At 33.7% G+C, this 16,763-nt stretch overlaps 1 protein-coding gene across 10 annotated transcripts in view; it reads left to right on the forward strand.

The window, feature by feature from the left end:
* The window catches only part of TMEM117 (transmembrane protein 117), a 603,307-nt gene that overhangs the window by 344,165 nt on the left and 242,379 nt on the right, over window positions 1–16,763 (forward strand). For 8 of the 10 annotated variants that reach the window (XM_047429662.1, XM_047429665.1, NM_032256.3 and 5 more), the window contains one exon: window positions 3,559–3,658. The exons of the other annotated variants lie outside the window; for them this stretch is intronic. In XM_047429662.1, coding sequence (XP_047285618.1) covers window positions 3,559–3,658 — 100 coding nt within the window. The remainder of the gene's footprint in view (window positions 1–3,558; window positions 3,659–16,763) is intronic. 10 annotated transcript variants of the gene reach the window in all.

Raw genomic sequence — 16,763 nt, forward strand, 5'->3', positions numbered from 1 at the left:
AGGTCTGCATATTTGTAATTCTTCTTCATATTTATCCAAAGCAGCAAAAATAAGAATAATTACTGAATGACTAGTCTTTATATATTATTCTTCATTTTTAAGTATATTAGTTATTTCATAAGTTGTCAGTACTATCTCATCTGCATTGTTATAGCATCTAGCACTTATCATATGTCCACAGCCACAGGCAAGGATACTTTATTTTGTGCTGATATATTACTCTGGGTGAATACAGGACAGTTATCTTCCAGTCAGTCAAGAAGCTATAAATGTAGCTGGAGAGATAAAGTGAACACACAAAACAATTTTTAGAAGTTTTTAATATCTTCCTCCATGGAAAAGTTTTTCATGATTCAATCTCATTTTATTGCTGTTTCTAGGATTTAATGTATGGAGATCTACCCATGCCATATATAAATAAATATGAATGATTTGGGTCACTTTATTAAATCATAATTTAAACAAATATTTATTAATTCTCCACTGGAGAATCAACAGTAGACAAGATAGCCAAAATAGCTTCCTATTCTTCTGGACAGTTTTTTCTCTTGGTTTTCAGTGATAGGAGCTTGTTTCTTGACATCCTAGTAATTTTTGAATGATGGACAGATATTATGTATAAAAGTGTGTAGAGGATAAAACAAAATTTTATTTTTCCACAAAACATTTACTTTTTCCTTTGTTAAGTGGAGACAGTAGAAGCTGTTCACCACAATCTGGTCATCAAATGGCCTGGGTAAGGGCTGGTTTATACTTTCATCAAGGATTCATCCATCTCTGGTTTTCTGTAGCCCTCCAGAGGGCTGTATTCTCTTGGACCACATTCTCTAGCTGGTTCTGAACTCTAATAGAGTCCTCAATATAAGGAAGTTGCCAAACCTCCCTAATGCTCTTTAGAGATTTTACTTAGTCTTTTAGTCTCCTTCCTGTACAAGTTCAGAAAGGTTTGGCAAGTGTCTTGAAAGGCAACCAGCTGTGTGTCATGCTGTCTTCTGGGTTTCTCCTTCCTCACTAGGATCTTGGCTCCTTAAATTTCCAATGTTGTCTGTTCTTCACAGTTCTAACTTTCCACAGTTCTCTCTAATCTGGTATCTTGATTTTTCTAGTCTTCATTGCCTCAACAATTTTAATTTTTTGATTATTTAAACAGTGTTAACACTTTTGATTAACATATATTCAAATTGTATACACATGTACAGTAGCACCACTTCATTAAAACTCCTTTTGTCAGTAACCTCCATGATACCAAATTTGTGACATTTTTTGCATTTTTAAAAAACTTTTAAGTTCAGGAGTACATGTGCAGTTTTGCTATATAGATAATCTCGTGTCATGGGGGTTTGTTTTACAGATTGTTTCATCACTCAGGTATTAAGCCTAGTACCCATTAATCATTTTTCCTGATCCTCTCTCTCCTCCCACCCTTTTCCCTCTGAAAAGCCCCAGAGTGTGGTCGTGGTTTTGGTTTTTATTTTTTTAGTTATTAGCTGGATGATTGATCTGTTGCAAGTGTATCCAGCCGCCTGTCTCTATTTTTAGATAGTAAAATAAAAGAATGATACCTTCTCTTATACAAATGTATGCAATTACAGGGAATATACCCTAAAATTTCCACTCTACCCCAAGATATTCTAGAACTAATTGGAAAAGTGGACAGGTGGGGCATTGAACAAGTTCTTCAAATTAGGTATCATTGAAAGAACTGGGCAATTACCAGAGCTAATCCTTTATAGTAATGTTGAGTTCACTGACCAAGAGCTGTTCAGTGATTGTGGTACTGAATGGTGCTACACCAAGTTGTCCAAGTGAATAACTTGGGGGCTTTCAAGTGGACGCCACTTTGATTGGTGAATTCAACATGAATTGAAACTCAAGACTTGATGGTTGCTCTGGAGAGCTAAAGGTTCTGCATACTATTCTTGACTTCTTATTAGGATTTATCTTAAAGGGAAATAAGTTTTAATTTTTATCATCTACTAAGCTACTTGTGGACAGAGTAGATATTTGTTGTGTTTTATATCTTCACTAACACTTATAAGAAGAAGATGTTGCTTAGTGGTTAAATTTCTGCGTTTGTGAGTCAATCAAGTTTAAATTTAAATCCTGTCCATTTACCAGATGCTTGACCTTAAGCAAGTTGCAAAAACTCTGTAAATCTCAATTTCATATTGTGAATTAGGAATAATAATACATTTCATTGTACCAGTGTGAGAGTTGATGTATACACTGTATTTAAAGTGGTAATAACTATCTTTGGCACCTTATAAGCATGCAATTTATGGTAGCTATAAATTTTGGGCTACTATCAAAGTCCATGGAATTGGAGATCCAGAATTTTGGGGTTGTCCTTAAAACACTTACAGAGAGCCTCCAAGGTAGGTGAATGAAGTCTGTTGAAAAAGAGTTATGTTAAGAATTTTTAAGTTTGCTTTTTTTGTTAAATAAAACTAGTTAAATATCTGTTTATTTTATGGATAACAGAACCATCTGAAATAACTCCAGAAAAGAAAAGACTGAATTGGAGATAGTTTACCTCTCAGTGACTTCAAAAACATGTTTCTTCATAATTTCAGTAGATAAATAATGAACAATCATTATCTATTGGATGTATTTTAAAATTAAGAAGAATTAAGTTTTACCAATACTCTAAATTGTACAGGTATTATTATGTATAAGAAAAGGAGCAAAATTTAAGATAAAAGTAGTTAAGTGAACAAAAACTTAAGAGTAAAATAAAAACTAAAAGAGGGAGAGAGAAATTTGTCACCTAGCTACCATTTGTTAGTTATATGATATGAATAGGGCGAGTTATGTGATCTGAGTCCCAGTTTTTTCAGAGAAATTGCAAAATTAGAAAAATAATAATTAGTGTTTTCTTGAATATTAAATGAAAATGCCTGATGAACAGTAAGCATGGTCTTAATACTAATATTTAATGATCAGTGGAAATAGGAATTAGCTATACAAAAAGTAAATGGTATAATTACATTCTCTTATTTATATTTCAGTAATAATTTAAATCACACATATTTGGATCAAATTTCATACTGCTTTATTATGCATGGAAATTTTTCTTAAATCTTGATATTATTCTGAACGTTATTCAGGTATGATGTTATATCTAAAGCCTAATCCCAGCATTTTTCCAATTGTTTTGATTTGATGGAACTGAAGGAAAGTTAGCTCTTCTCTCCTCTTTGAAGTTACTCCAATTTAGGAAGTGTTTCTGCTCTGCTCATACTTGAGTGAGCATGCAATAATACCTTTGCTGAGTATTTCTGTTTGATTTTTCAAAAGCTGTCATTAGTCGTACAGCTCAAATATGAAGTGCACATGGTAATTGGTGGAGCCACATTCAGTCTTCAAGTATAATTGAAAATGACCCAGACACCCTGAGAGCTCTTCTTAGACTTCCAGATTTGTAAGCATATGTGATGGGACAAGAGCCAGACAGCTTGCTGAGAATGGGAGAAGTCCCTTTGCCTGTTGCTGAACCAGAAAGCCTTAACTGTATGACTCTCTGAGTCCGGACAATGTCTTGTGTGTTTGTTTCCACAGAGCATATATCATTACAGACTATATGGGCATCCGAAATGAAAGTTTCATGAAATTAGCTGCAGTAGGGACCTGGATGGGGGACTTTGTCACAGCTTGGATGGTAAGAAAATTTTAACTTCACCCATTTCAAACATCAAACGGAAGACATGTTCACAGTGTTGGACAGACACTGCTTTTGATGATGTAGAGTAAAATAATTACCTCTCTTTGAGTGAAACAAATTTATGAGTAAAGATAATTCCAGAGATTATATCCAATATCTGTGGACCTCAGAAAAAAAATCAATGCAATTAGAATACAAGTAATGGCACTCCACCAGAATCTGTCGATCGATCTATCTATCTATCATCTACCTATCTAAACACACATGTATGTTTGAGCATATAAACATATACAGTCATAACATTAATAGAAATTCTCCCTGTGAAGTTACAAATAATTTTGTTTGTCTAAATAATTTTGGCTTTTTCTTAAGGCATGTACAATTTTCAGGTAAGGAATGTGGTCTGGCCTGTCTCAGAAGACCATATGAAATATTTTTTTTAGCAATTTAAGAAATCATTTTCTACATTTATTTTCCTCATTGGAACTACTAATATAATGGTAACTGAGTTCTGAGTATTATCTCTTTTAATCTCTTTTGTATTTTCTTACTCCTTGTTACTATAAGCCTGGAACAAACAGACAAACATGTCTCCTGCTGAGCTCATCTGTCAATAAAGTATCTTCTGTTTTTAATCATTGGGTTAAAATTTAAAGATAGCATGTTGCTAGAAGGCTCTGGGTTCTATAAATTTATGAGAGACTCACAAAATGCAAAGAACATAACTCCCATAAAAATGGAGCACTTCATTAATACCGTTCATAAATGCAGTTGATTCTAATTACCTTTGTCAGTCTATTCACTTGAAAATGAGGAGATATACCAGAAGGCAGATAATGCCTGACTCAGACAAGACTTGGCATGGACATGTCCCTGCAGATATGTCCCAGATATTGTAGGTAGATATTGTAGGTAGGAACAAAAGAGTTCCTGCCATTTCTATTGATTGCTTCTTACCTGGAACAGGTGCTTTCCAGGATCAGGAAGCAGTTGTAGCTTAACTGCTCCTACTGAGAACATCCAGGAAGAGTATCAAGTAACTACCAAAGGGTTTGTATGGCCTGTTTTTGAGCCTCCACCTACCTCTGTTGATTTTTAGAATGTTAACAGATTACTGTATGGATTCTATTCCATTAACTTTAAAATGTAAACTTGAAAAATGATTTATTTGTAATCTCTAGAAATAGCAATTAGAATAAACTAGACATTGAGAACAGGCTGCCTCACATGAGAATTTTCTTTTTTCTGGGCCGGGCGCGGTGGCTCACGCCTGTAATCCCAGCACTTTGGGAGGCCGAGGCGGGCGGATCATGAGGTCAGGAGATCGAGACCATCCTGGCTAACACGGTGAAACCCCATCTCTACTAAAAATACAAAAAATTAGCCAGGCGTGGTGGCGGGCGCCTGTAGTCCCAGCTACTCGGGAGGCTGAGGCAGGAGAATGGCGTGAACCTGGGAGGCGGAGCTTGCAGTGAGCCGAGATCGCGCCACTGAACTCCAGCCTGGGCGACAGAGCGAGACTCCGTCTCAAAAAGAAAATAAAAAAGAAAAATTTCTTTTTTCCATTGGAAAAAGCTTTTTAGGAGGAGATACATAAACTTTGAAAAACGTAACTTCCTTGAAATTTGAGGGGATGTTTAAAAAAATTTTTTGACATTAATTATGCATTGTGATTTTGACATCACTTTGTGGCAAATCTGCTTAATAAGATGGAAAAGATAACTAGATTAAGAGTCCAGGAATTTGAATTATCTGACCTGACCACCTATGGTTCGACCTTCCTACAAATAATGAACAGTTCTCGGAGGCTCAGTTTGCAGATTTATCAAATAGGATTAATAGTTCCTTCCTGTGTTACATATTTTCTGTAAAGCTTAAATGTGTGGCCCTGTGATGTGACTTAAAATGCTAACGTATAAGGTAGACATAAGTGCTTCATTGTGCACATTGTGGGGCTTCTCATCACTTTAGCTTGGCTCAGTCCTTTGAGGGGATGGCAAGGGCCAAGTCATTGATCCAAACCTCAGGATGCCTAGACTTCCTGAGCCCCATAAGTGTGAGCAGCCCACCTTATCCCAGGCCTGGGGTCCAGAGTGTCTGGAGTTTATTTCAATCGCCAATGATGCAGGAGGCTAAGATGATATGGTACATTGCTTCCTGACTTTTGTCTTATACTGAACCTGACAAAAGTTAGAGGAGAAACAATGAACCAGCAGGACCTAGGAGCTGAAGTTTGCAGGCTCATGCCAGCCATTTATTACATAAATCATTTTCTTTTCCACTATGGCAACATTGTTTGTTTCTAACCCAATTCTATCCAATTCTTCCCCAGCCATTTCTTCAAGATGTTGCTTTCTGTACCATATACAGCTCTGCCTCTCTTTATTGGTTCATTATTATTATTTTTTAAATTAGCCTTTTTTCTTTTTTAACCATAGGGAGGGGTCCAATTGCTGCAGCACCCTTAGGAGGAAAATGCATGGTAGAGTTTTGACCAAAGACCTTTAACCCTTCCTGGTTGGATTTCTATTCTGCACTTGTCTGCCACTTTCATCTGGCTAAGGGGAGTACAAATAATTCCACAGTTCAGCCTGTGATCTTTGTCTCCTTTCAAGGTCTGGCTGACCTTCATAGTTTCTTCTAATTTTACTGCTTTAATGTCTTATATTTCTACTAGCTAACCTGATAACTTCACTTTTTTCTATATGAGAGATTACTGCTACATCACAGAACTAAGACTGGATTGAGAGTCAAGAAAACCGTGTTCTAGGTTGAACCTCACAATGTGATCTTAAGTCACCTAACCCCCTGGGGCCTTTCTGTAAGCTGGAAGAGAATCCAAAGTCTCTTTATGCTATGTTATATGAAACATTGACCTTTCCACATTAGACACAGGGATAGAAATAGCAAAGGAAATACCAAGTGCTCCTGATTTTAAAATATAGTCACACAGGGAGGATTCCCAGAGCACATCATTTCTATTCCCATTTCTATTCACTGATTGGGCAGTGAGTTTCTGTATAAATATTTATATGTCTACATATGTGTATATTGATAACATTTAAAAAAATAATATTTTCCCTCATGAGAGAAGTCTAACGTAGCCTTGACCTTCATCTGTCTATAGGATTCTCATCGTGAAATGAATATCAATGATGAGGGTGACTGTCATGGAAAAGCAACTATTTACATTAACAATCAAAGTGTGTCTTTTATATATTTCTGAAATGGAGGATTTTTCTTTTATGGAAATAATTCAAAACTTTTTCATAGTTTTAAAAGGCATATCAATATTAATGTGATCCAAAGATAAGGATGGTGTCAACCAATATGAGAAGTATCTTTGGCCCTCACATTACAGAGCTTCAAGCTCTGCTGGGTCCAGTTTCTTAGGCAGCTCTGACTTTTCCTGGCTCTGTGGTACTCCCCATGCAGAGGACAAGAGATATATAACTCAGGGTTAAGGGTACTAATTCTTTTGTCAAATAGGTTTTTAAAATAGGTTAATATGTAAGAAATACGTAAAGTGCTGAGCGATGTAATCCACATTGAGCTGGGTCTTTGCTATGGGCAGGATCAGAGAAAAGCGCTGTCATGAAGCTGTAAATAAAACAACATGGGGTGTCTCACGAGACACCATTTCCAGGTATCCACCCGTGCACTGTGCCATTAAGTCAGAAGCTGGAGGAGAGTTGGCCAGTTCCATATCACATTACCCCAGTTTTGCCATTGCTGCTTCAGCTTCTGATGAGGTCTAAGGTGGCAGGGGATTCCAAGGACATCATGATGGCACTTGCTTCTGCCCTTAATTTAATGCCAGAGAGAAGAAGCACTTCTGCTGATCTATGCCTAATAATCCCCTGTTCTAGCCCCTGGTACATCCTGTTCTAGTTGCTTCCATCTTACAGAAGTAAATGGTATGACTCACAATAGAACCAGGGCATCAGACTCCAGGTTTGAGGTTCTTGTTGGGGTGAGGGGTATAGATAAGGTAAAACTGAGCCATGACCTAAGAAGACAACTCTGGGCCGGGCGCGGTGGCTCACACCTGTAACCCCAGCACTTGGGAGGCTGAGACGGGTGGATCACTTGAGGTCAGGAGCTCACCAGCCTGGCCAACATGGTGAAACCCCATCTCTACTAAAAATACAAAAATTAGCTGGATATAGTGGCACATGCCTGCAATCCCAGCTACTCAGGAGGCTGAGGCAGCAGAATGGCTTGAACCTGGGAGGCGGAGGTTGCAGTAAGCTGAGATTGTGCCACTGCACTCCAGCCTGGGTGATAGAGCGAGACTCTGTCTCAAAAAAAAAAAAAAAAAGAAAAAGAAAAAGACAATTCTGTTAGCCAACACTGAAGTCATCATAAAGCATCCTTCAACCTGAAAACCGTATACTGTGTGTATCAACTTCTAACAGTCACAGGACATTGCATGGCTTTAACATAGTAGCCCTAGGATTATCTGTCGGAATTTATGTATATGTGCCACTACTAGCAAAGGCTTTACCATAAAGTGATGTTGTAGACACATAAAACAGGAAAAAGTCAGTTTAGTTGTTTGCCAGTTGGCTTTACTTTTATTTAAGGCATTTATAGTGACCGTCTGTTTATAAAATTATGTGTGATTTTTAATGGACTTTTTTTCCCCTTGAAAGTTGGAGTTTCATTAGAGCCAGACAAGCTTAACCACTAAAAATGCTTTTGGATTAATAAAACATAGCCTTTGTAGTTGGAATATAGTAAGAAATAAGTTGTAATTTTTGCTGAATTATTTCTCTGTATTGAGGATCTAGCAAGAATATGATTTTAGAAAAAATGTGTTGATTTTAGAAAAAAGGTATTTTTTAGAAATATATTTTACCTTTCTATTTTAACTGTGTCTATTTTATGTATAAGTACTGCAATATCTGTCTAAATATTTGAGTGACAATTTTTGCTGTCTTATTTTTCATACACTTTGTATTTTTTCAGAGAGATTTTATCATTAATATTTATACTGCTATTATCTTTGCTTCAAAAGACTGTTCATACTAGTTAAGAGAAAAAGTTAAAAACTCTTCCTGACTTGACTAGAAGCTTCTTGAGGGGAGTTACAATGTCAATCATATTTATAATTATATTCCTAACACCCAACACAGAACCAGGTATAAAATAGGTGCTCAAGAAATATTTATTTAAAGAATAAATAGATCATAACAGCACATAAGCACTGTTTCATTTCTTTTTTCTGGTTCAGTTTTGTGACTTATTATTGTAAAATGAGCATTCTAGAATCCTATAAAGGTGGAAGGAGGTCAGCTATATTGTTCAGGGTATCATATATATTAACCCTGCTTTGCTCCTCTCCCTACCCCACCTCAACCAGGCTATGCACTTCTTCACACTAAATTTGTTCCCAGAACCACAGGGACACATGCTTGTGAACACTCTTGAATGGAAGTGATGAATTGCCAGTGTAAGTCTCCCAAAATGGTGATGTCATTCTTGAGTGTAAATGGCAAAGAGTATAAAGAAAAGATTGAGCTCTGCAGATCCTGCCAGTGCATTCTTCGAATGGTCATTACTGCTCTCAGTGGCACTGTGTTGATCCCAGCTCTGGGGCAGAAGGAAGCTGGGTTGAGATATGTCCCTTGAGTCATGTGAGCAAGAAGAGATTACTACGTAAGATAGAAAATTGGTTAAATTTCAGTGGACAGAGAGAATTAAAGAATGGCATATACTTGAGAGTAAATACCATTACATCAAGGGTCAATATTCATTTACAACTCTAGAACAGAATAGAGGGAGGAAATATTTCTGCAGTGTTTGAGCATAAAGTATTCCTTCTAGCTTAAATATAGATAATATGAAATAAAATTTATAATTATATAAACATACAACCTAAAATGTGGTGATGTTTTTAATTGTCATTTTATGCTTATTGCACACTTATTTAGGAAAGGAGTTAACTGTTTGTGTTATTTTCATTTTATCAAGTTAAAAATAGTTTAGTTCAAAATTTTCTAGTTTATACATGTCACTATTTTGTGGACTATTTCACAAACACTAAGTGTGTGAATGAACAGTAACCTGGAATATAACCAGCATCTAGCTTGTTATTCTGTCTGGAATTGAGTTTGACAATGCATATTATAATCAGTGCCAATTTTCTAATTATTTCTCTTCTACTGATGTTTCAAAATGACAGAATAAGAAGCATAATTGAATTTGATTTAGCACTTGAAATAAAGTAGCAATAACAGTTTAATTGAACTTCATAATAGAAAAAAAATTTAAACCATGAAACTTGGAATAGAAGGCCAGGATGAGCAAACTCATTGGACACATGTATATGAGAAATGGAAGGGTGCAAACCAGATATTTAGCCATGGGAGCTGGACCTAAGAGCTGAACATTCCTCTGGGTCTTTCTCTTTTGCTGTCTTTCTCTGCCTGTTCATTGGAACCATTTTGACCTCAACCTACCCCTGATTAGTTAACCTCATGTTTGGTACATTCGTATGTTCCATTTCATTACTTATACAGTGAAAATACAAACTGGATCAAGCATTTAATTAATACACTATCTTTCTATAAAGATTTCGTGTTATGTGAGGTTCTCTAAGAAAAAAAGCATGCATCAGGGATTTAGGGGCACAAGATTTAAAGAGGAAGTACTCTTGGGGAATCTGTAAGAGATGAGAGAAACAGGAGAGAGAAAGAGAAGGAGGCAAGCAAAGATATAGTTCTATGGTGTCACATAAAGTCTGCCCTCAGCCTGATCTCCTGGGACTGTGCTCTTGGGCAATGGAGTGCTCCAGTAGGTCAAGAGGTTGCGAGTGGGACACCAACATGGACCATCGCACAGACAAAACCCAAGGACGGCAGATTTAGTGGCACCCACACTTGCCAAAAAAAATTAATAATAATCAGTTTGTTTGATCATTTGATTGAAGCAAAGAGCATAAAAGGGAAATTATTTTTTGCATTTCTTTTTTGCTCATTAGGAAGTTTTGAGGGAAGTAAATGTGGTCATTTTGCTTTTGCATGTATAAATATTTTAATGTCTCTATAAATATTTTAGCTTTGTGTTTCATGTTCCTTCAAAATAATAAGTTCCAGCTAAAAAATTAATAAGGCAGGAGAGTCTAACTTCCTGTGTTCAGATAGCATCCTAAGTGATGATCAAGAGTCTTTTAATTTTCATGACTTTTGGAATTAAAAAAATAGAATATGACCTGGAATAAAAAAGGATTTCCGGGTAAAAAAGGTTGTACTATAATGTATAGACACTTAAGAACAGAGGCAAAAATTCTGGCTTTCACTGTAAGTCTCCTAATGCCAATGCCCATCAAAATATCAAATAATTCCATAGTATGTGATAGGTATATGTATGCAATTTATATTCATTTATTAAAAATTTGTGGAATATAAATTTTATATTCATATTCACCAAGAATATGAAAGGCACCTAGGAAAATTCACCTAGGTATTGAATTGAACTACATTAAGATATGAAAGAAACTGAGGACATCTCTTATAGAAAGACATTCCCACCAGAGACAGGGGATGCTCATTTTTCATCTTTTTCATCCCCAACTTAGTTTCAGCTTCTTCCAATTCCATTATACTTTATTTCTATTACTTAGTTTATACTTCCTCTAGTTGGGTACCTCCTTTGTCCACATATTCTTTATGATTTTTCTAACGTAAAGTTCCGCACCTTTTTTTTTTGATGGAATTTTCTTTTTTTTTTCATTATTATTATTATACTTTAAGTTTTAGGATACATGTGCACAACGTGCAGGTTTGTTACATATGTATATATGTGCCATGTTGGTGTGCTGCACTCATTAACTTGTCGTTTAGCATTAGGTATATCTCCTAATGCTATCCCTCCGCCCTCCCCCCACCCCACAACAGTCCCCAGGTGTGATGTTCCCCTTCCTGTGTCCATGTTTAAAGCAGTATTTATCCACCATTTACCTGAAGAACTTTGAATAAAGCCCAGGAGGCATTGATACTTGATTTTTTCCTCTTTGAAAGTCAATGATATAATGAAATGAGAGCTGGCTGTTAATATAGGCTCATATTAGAACTTGAAAAAAGAAGCTATGTGCTTTTTTGTAGTATGTTTAGGAGTTGGATGGCTCCCTTAACATTTCTTTCACCTTTTATTTAGTGCCTCTTGTGGGCCGAGAACTATTCTAAATACACATATTTAGAATAATGTTTATATATAATATATAATATTATATTTAATATATTATATATTATAATATATATTTAATATCATTTAATATATAATATATATTATAAACATTATATATTATATTATATTACATAATATATTATATAAATATAAGTATATATTTATATATAAACATTATTATAAATATAATATATATTATATATTTAAATATGTAATATATATTATATTAATCATATATTTATATTATAGATATAATATATATTTATATTATAAACATAAATATATAATATATAATATAAATGTATATTATATATTTATATTATTTATATATTTATATTTACATAATATATATAAAATTATATTTATAAAATATATATAAATATAATTATATTTATATTATATATTATAAATATAATTATATATATAATTATAAATATAAAATGTATAATCATATTTATATTATATATAATTATATTTATAATATTTATATATAATCATATCATATAAATATATATATTATATATAAATTTATATATTTATATGTATTATATCATATATAAATTTATATATTTATATATAATATTTATATCATATATAAATTTCTATATTTATATATTATATTTATATAATATAAAAATTTTTATATCTATAATTATATCATATATAAATTTTTATATATATAATTATATCATATATAAATTTATATATATATTTATATCATATAAATTTTTATATATAATATTTATATCATATAAATTTATATATATAATATTTATATCATATATAAATTTTTATATACATAATATTTATATCATATATAAATTTTTATATATAATATTTATATCATATATAATTTTTATATATATAATATTTATATATAAATTTTTATATATACTATATATAATATAAATATATTTATATTTATAATTATATTTATAATGTATATAATATAAATATAAATATGGTGTCACATAAATATATATACATTATGTTTATATGAATATAATGTATATATTGTATTTATATAAATACAATATATACATTATATTTATGGAACCATTTTGACCTCAACCTACCCCTGATTCGTTAATTATATTCTTAAGTATATATTTATATATACTTAAGAATAGTGCATATACACACACACATATTTTAGAATCATGGTGGGCCTGCAGGAGGTGCTAACTAAAAGGTAAAAGAAATGTTCAGGGGAGTCATTCGACTAATTCCAGAAGTACTACAAAAGAAGCACATAGCTTCATATTTCAAGTTCTAATCTCAGCTAATATTAATGAGTACTCATTTTATTGTATCATTAACTTTATATCAGATACATACTGATTTTCCATCCATAAAAACCCTGAAACAGGTGGAGACACTGAAGCTTAGGAGGTTAAGTGTCTTGCCCTTGCCCAAGGTGACACAGATATGGCAGTATGAATGGCAGAACTTGGAATATAACCCAGGCAATCTGGTTCCAAAGTTTTTATTGTTTTCACATACTATTCTGACAAACTGAATAATTTTCTTGCAAATATTTAATAGTAGATCTTAATCCAATGTGGCATATAGACATAGATTTTGGTTCAATTTTTTTTTCTGCTTACATGTCAATTGAATTTGTTGAATTTTGTCATCAGATGGGGGAAGTGAGTATATTTTTAGGCACGAAATGATATAACCATCACGTCTCAGCCAAACTGTTGATTTTCAACTTTAGAAAATTCCTAAATTCCTATATTCCTATTCCCTTTTGATAAAGATGGTGGAAAGCATCTTATTTCTGGAATGGGAAAAAGGTAAAAGAATAAGTTTTATCTTATTATTGTTTAAGATAGATATTGCAGTTCCTGGTTACTTAAGTGCTAAGTGTTTTTATGAAATTGCTATTCTTTAGCAGTTGTTTGCTCCACGTATTTTTAGAGCAGTAAAGTTTTTTATATTCATAGAATATGCCACATTTTTAGTTAAATGTGTTTTAACCATATTTAGTTAAACATCAGAAAGAGATTTATAGCAATGAAGTATCTTGTATTTATGCTTTATTGTTGTTGCTTCATAAAAGCTTCATTATGTTTCAAGAGATTAAAGTAATTTGAGTGAACACAGGGAATACAATATTTGATAAGAAATGATTAAGTAAGAGTTTTCCTAAAACTAAGTTTGGGATATATTCTTCTCTTATATATCTGAAAGCTGATTAGGAAATAAATAACTTCTTTTTTTCCTTGGCTGACAAAATATGTTAAGCTTTATCTCAGACCTGGACCTGCCTCCACGATCCTTCACTAGTCTACCAAATTGCTCAGTGAAACATCTTAAGTAGCTTTTGGAACATGATATTGCATAAGGAATCAATTAAGCATGCAACAGCAATAGAAATTACTGGTCAAGTGTAAGATCAAATAAATTTCTCTGCCATTTCCAACGATATCAGTTAAAACAGAAGATAAAGTCCACATCAACAGTTTCTTAAATGCTATAGACAAGGACGCACAAAAAGAAAGTAGGACACCACGTGGGCCGTGTTAAGAATTCCAAATTGTTCTTGACTACTGACCAGAGGTTATATGAGAAGTAATGCCTATGAGTCAAGTGAGTGAGAGTGAGATGAAACAGAAAACCTAGAGAGAAGCCATCTGTTTTCATTGAAAGAACAGCACCTCTCGTAAAGATTTTAAAATACATCATAAAAATACTATGAACCTGTAGCTATTGAAGAAAAATGAAACCTAATAATTTTCAAAACCCAAGTGCTTTTTTTCTTATGTTGTAATTATCCTAATTTCTCTTTGACATTTTCAGTTTGAACGAAAAATAATAGAATCAAGGAAGAATTTTGGCAAATCTAAGTTGCAGGTTTGAAAAAAAAAGAAGGCATTTTATTTTACTTAAATAAAATTTAGCAAAGTGAACCAGTTTTCCCCCAAACAATATGCTATATATCTAAAAAAAAAAACCCCTTGTTTTGATTATATGATTTTTTTTAAAAAAAATAAGCAGAATATTCCTGGTACTTCTGCATACTTTACTTTCTTAGCCCTACAAGTCTCTATCGTAATGCCATTGCTATCTTTCTAAAATTGGTGACAACTTCAATTGACTATTTCTTGGACCATAATATCTTTGAGAACATGTTTTCTCTGGTGTCAAGGGATTTGTGAAGTGCAGAGCTTATACAAATAAATGAGGAATAGTCCAAATTTATTTTTGCTACTATTTTTGTCCAAATATTTCTTAAGATAATCATCTCTTTCCTCCATTCAGCCACCTTTTTGCAACAAACATTTTGAGATAAAAAAACTCATGAAATAAGGTATTTGTATACATAGTTTTTAAATATTTTATCAAATTTTGATGTTGCAAAATTACAGACCTTTGGTATTCCAAAACCCCACTGAGGGTCTCTCTTACTTCTTCATGAATCTATTCACTTAACAAATATATACGAAACACATGTAAAGTCATAACAAATTAGTAAGGAGTAAACATTGGACTGTATTAAATATGGTAAAAATTGAGTCAAAATACCATTGCATTTGAAGTTAACTTTCTCTTATTAATCTCTCAATGGTCTTGTTCCAGCCAGCCCCTCCCTAGACTTGCTGGTTTGGCAAGTGGTCATGCTGTGTATAATTTGTTCTGCAATACCTTTTGGTCTGTTCAAATCTTACCAACCATGTTTCAGTAGCTTAAGTCATCAGTTTGTGGTGAGGTCTTAATGAGTGACAGTGGCTTTCTCTGTTAAACTTGCATAAATAATAAATACCAGCATTGCAAATTCAAATGCCCTCAAGGCCAGGCTCATCTAGTAGAAGTGTGAAACATCTGGTATGAGATAAAAGGGTCTGTGAGGAGTTGAGGGCAGCTGCGTTGAACCAGAGATCGTGTTTCTTGTAAAGAAGCATTAAAATTCAGTTTACAACAAAAATATCACTAATGCAAAGTAGGATATAACTTCAGCAGAAAGTCTGCCCTTTGGTCACCTGACAGGGAGTCCTGCTTTGTGCTTTTTAAACAGGGCACATTAATCTGGAAACTGATTATGGCATGAATGTTGCAAGAACAGCACAGCACAGGGCATGAGTTTGGGACAGGTACCATGTTGTAATGTCTCTATCGCACCCTTAAACTTATCCATCCTGTAAAAGGTTGGTTCTCCCTTTTCTGTCCACTAAAATTCAGGGGGGACAAGGACTGTCTGCATGTTAATCATAGCTGATAAGAACAACCGGAATCTTTGTACTGCTTAGCACTAATTCCACCCAAACATTTAAGGCTCAAGCAGGCAAAAAGCATTTTCATAATAACACTTACTGAAGTGTTAATTAAATGCTTGTTATAGTAGTCAGGTTAGCCCTTACCAGCATGGATTCAGAGAGACCTCAAGTTCATGCTGTATTTGTTGACTAACTTACTAGCTTTAGTTTCTCATCAGGAAAGTGTGTGCAGATGTGTACTTAATATGCATTGTGGAAATCTTAAATGAATACAAATATCATTAAGCTGTCAATATTTGTAAATCTCTTAAGCAGTTTATATATAGATTTAGGGAACAGAGCTTATTGTTTAGTTGGGTGCTCTAATCAGTTTTTACCTGAATTTCATAAGGCTATGATTCCCAAATTTGTCTGCATACTGGAATCACCTGGGAAGTTTCAAAGACTACTGATGCCTGTGTCTCACTCTGGGATAGTGGTTTAACTTGTCTGCATGTAGTCTGGGTGTTGGAATGTTTAAGAGATTCCTAGAGATTCTAAAATGCAGAAAAATGCAGGGACTGTTTCTCTAAGGTGGTTCCAGGAAGTTTGGCATGGGAACATTTGGACATATTCTATGTCAAAATCAGATATTATGGGGTCATACTTATCAGATATTAAGGTTGAAGAGAAACCAGGAGAAAGAATCTTTT

The sequence above is a fragment of the Homo sapiens genome, chromosome 12 (genome assembly GCF_000001405.40).
Source record: "Homo sapiens chromosome 12, GRCh38.p14 Primary Assembly".
Classification (NCBI taxonomy): domain Eukaryota; kingdom Metazoa; phylum Chordata; class Mammalia; order Primates; family Hominidae; genus Homo; species Homo sapiens.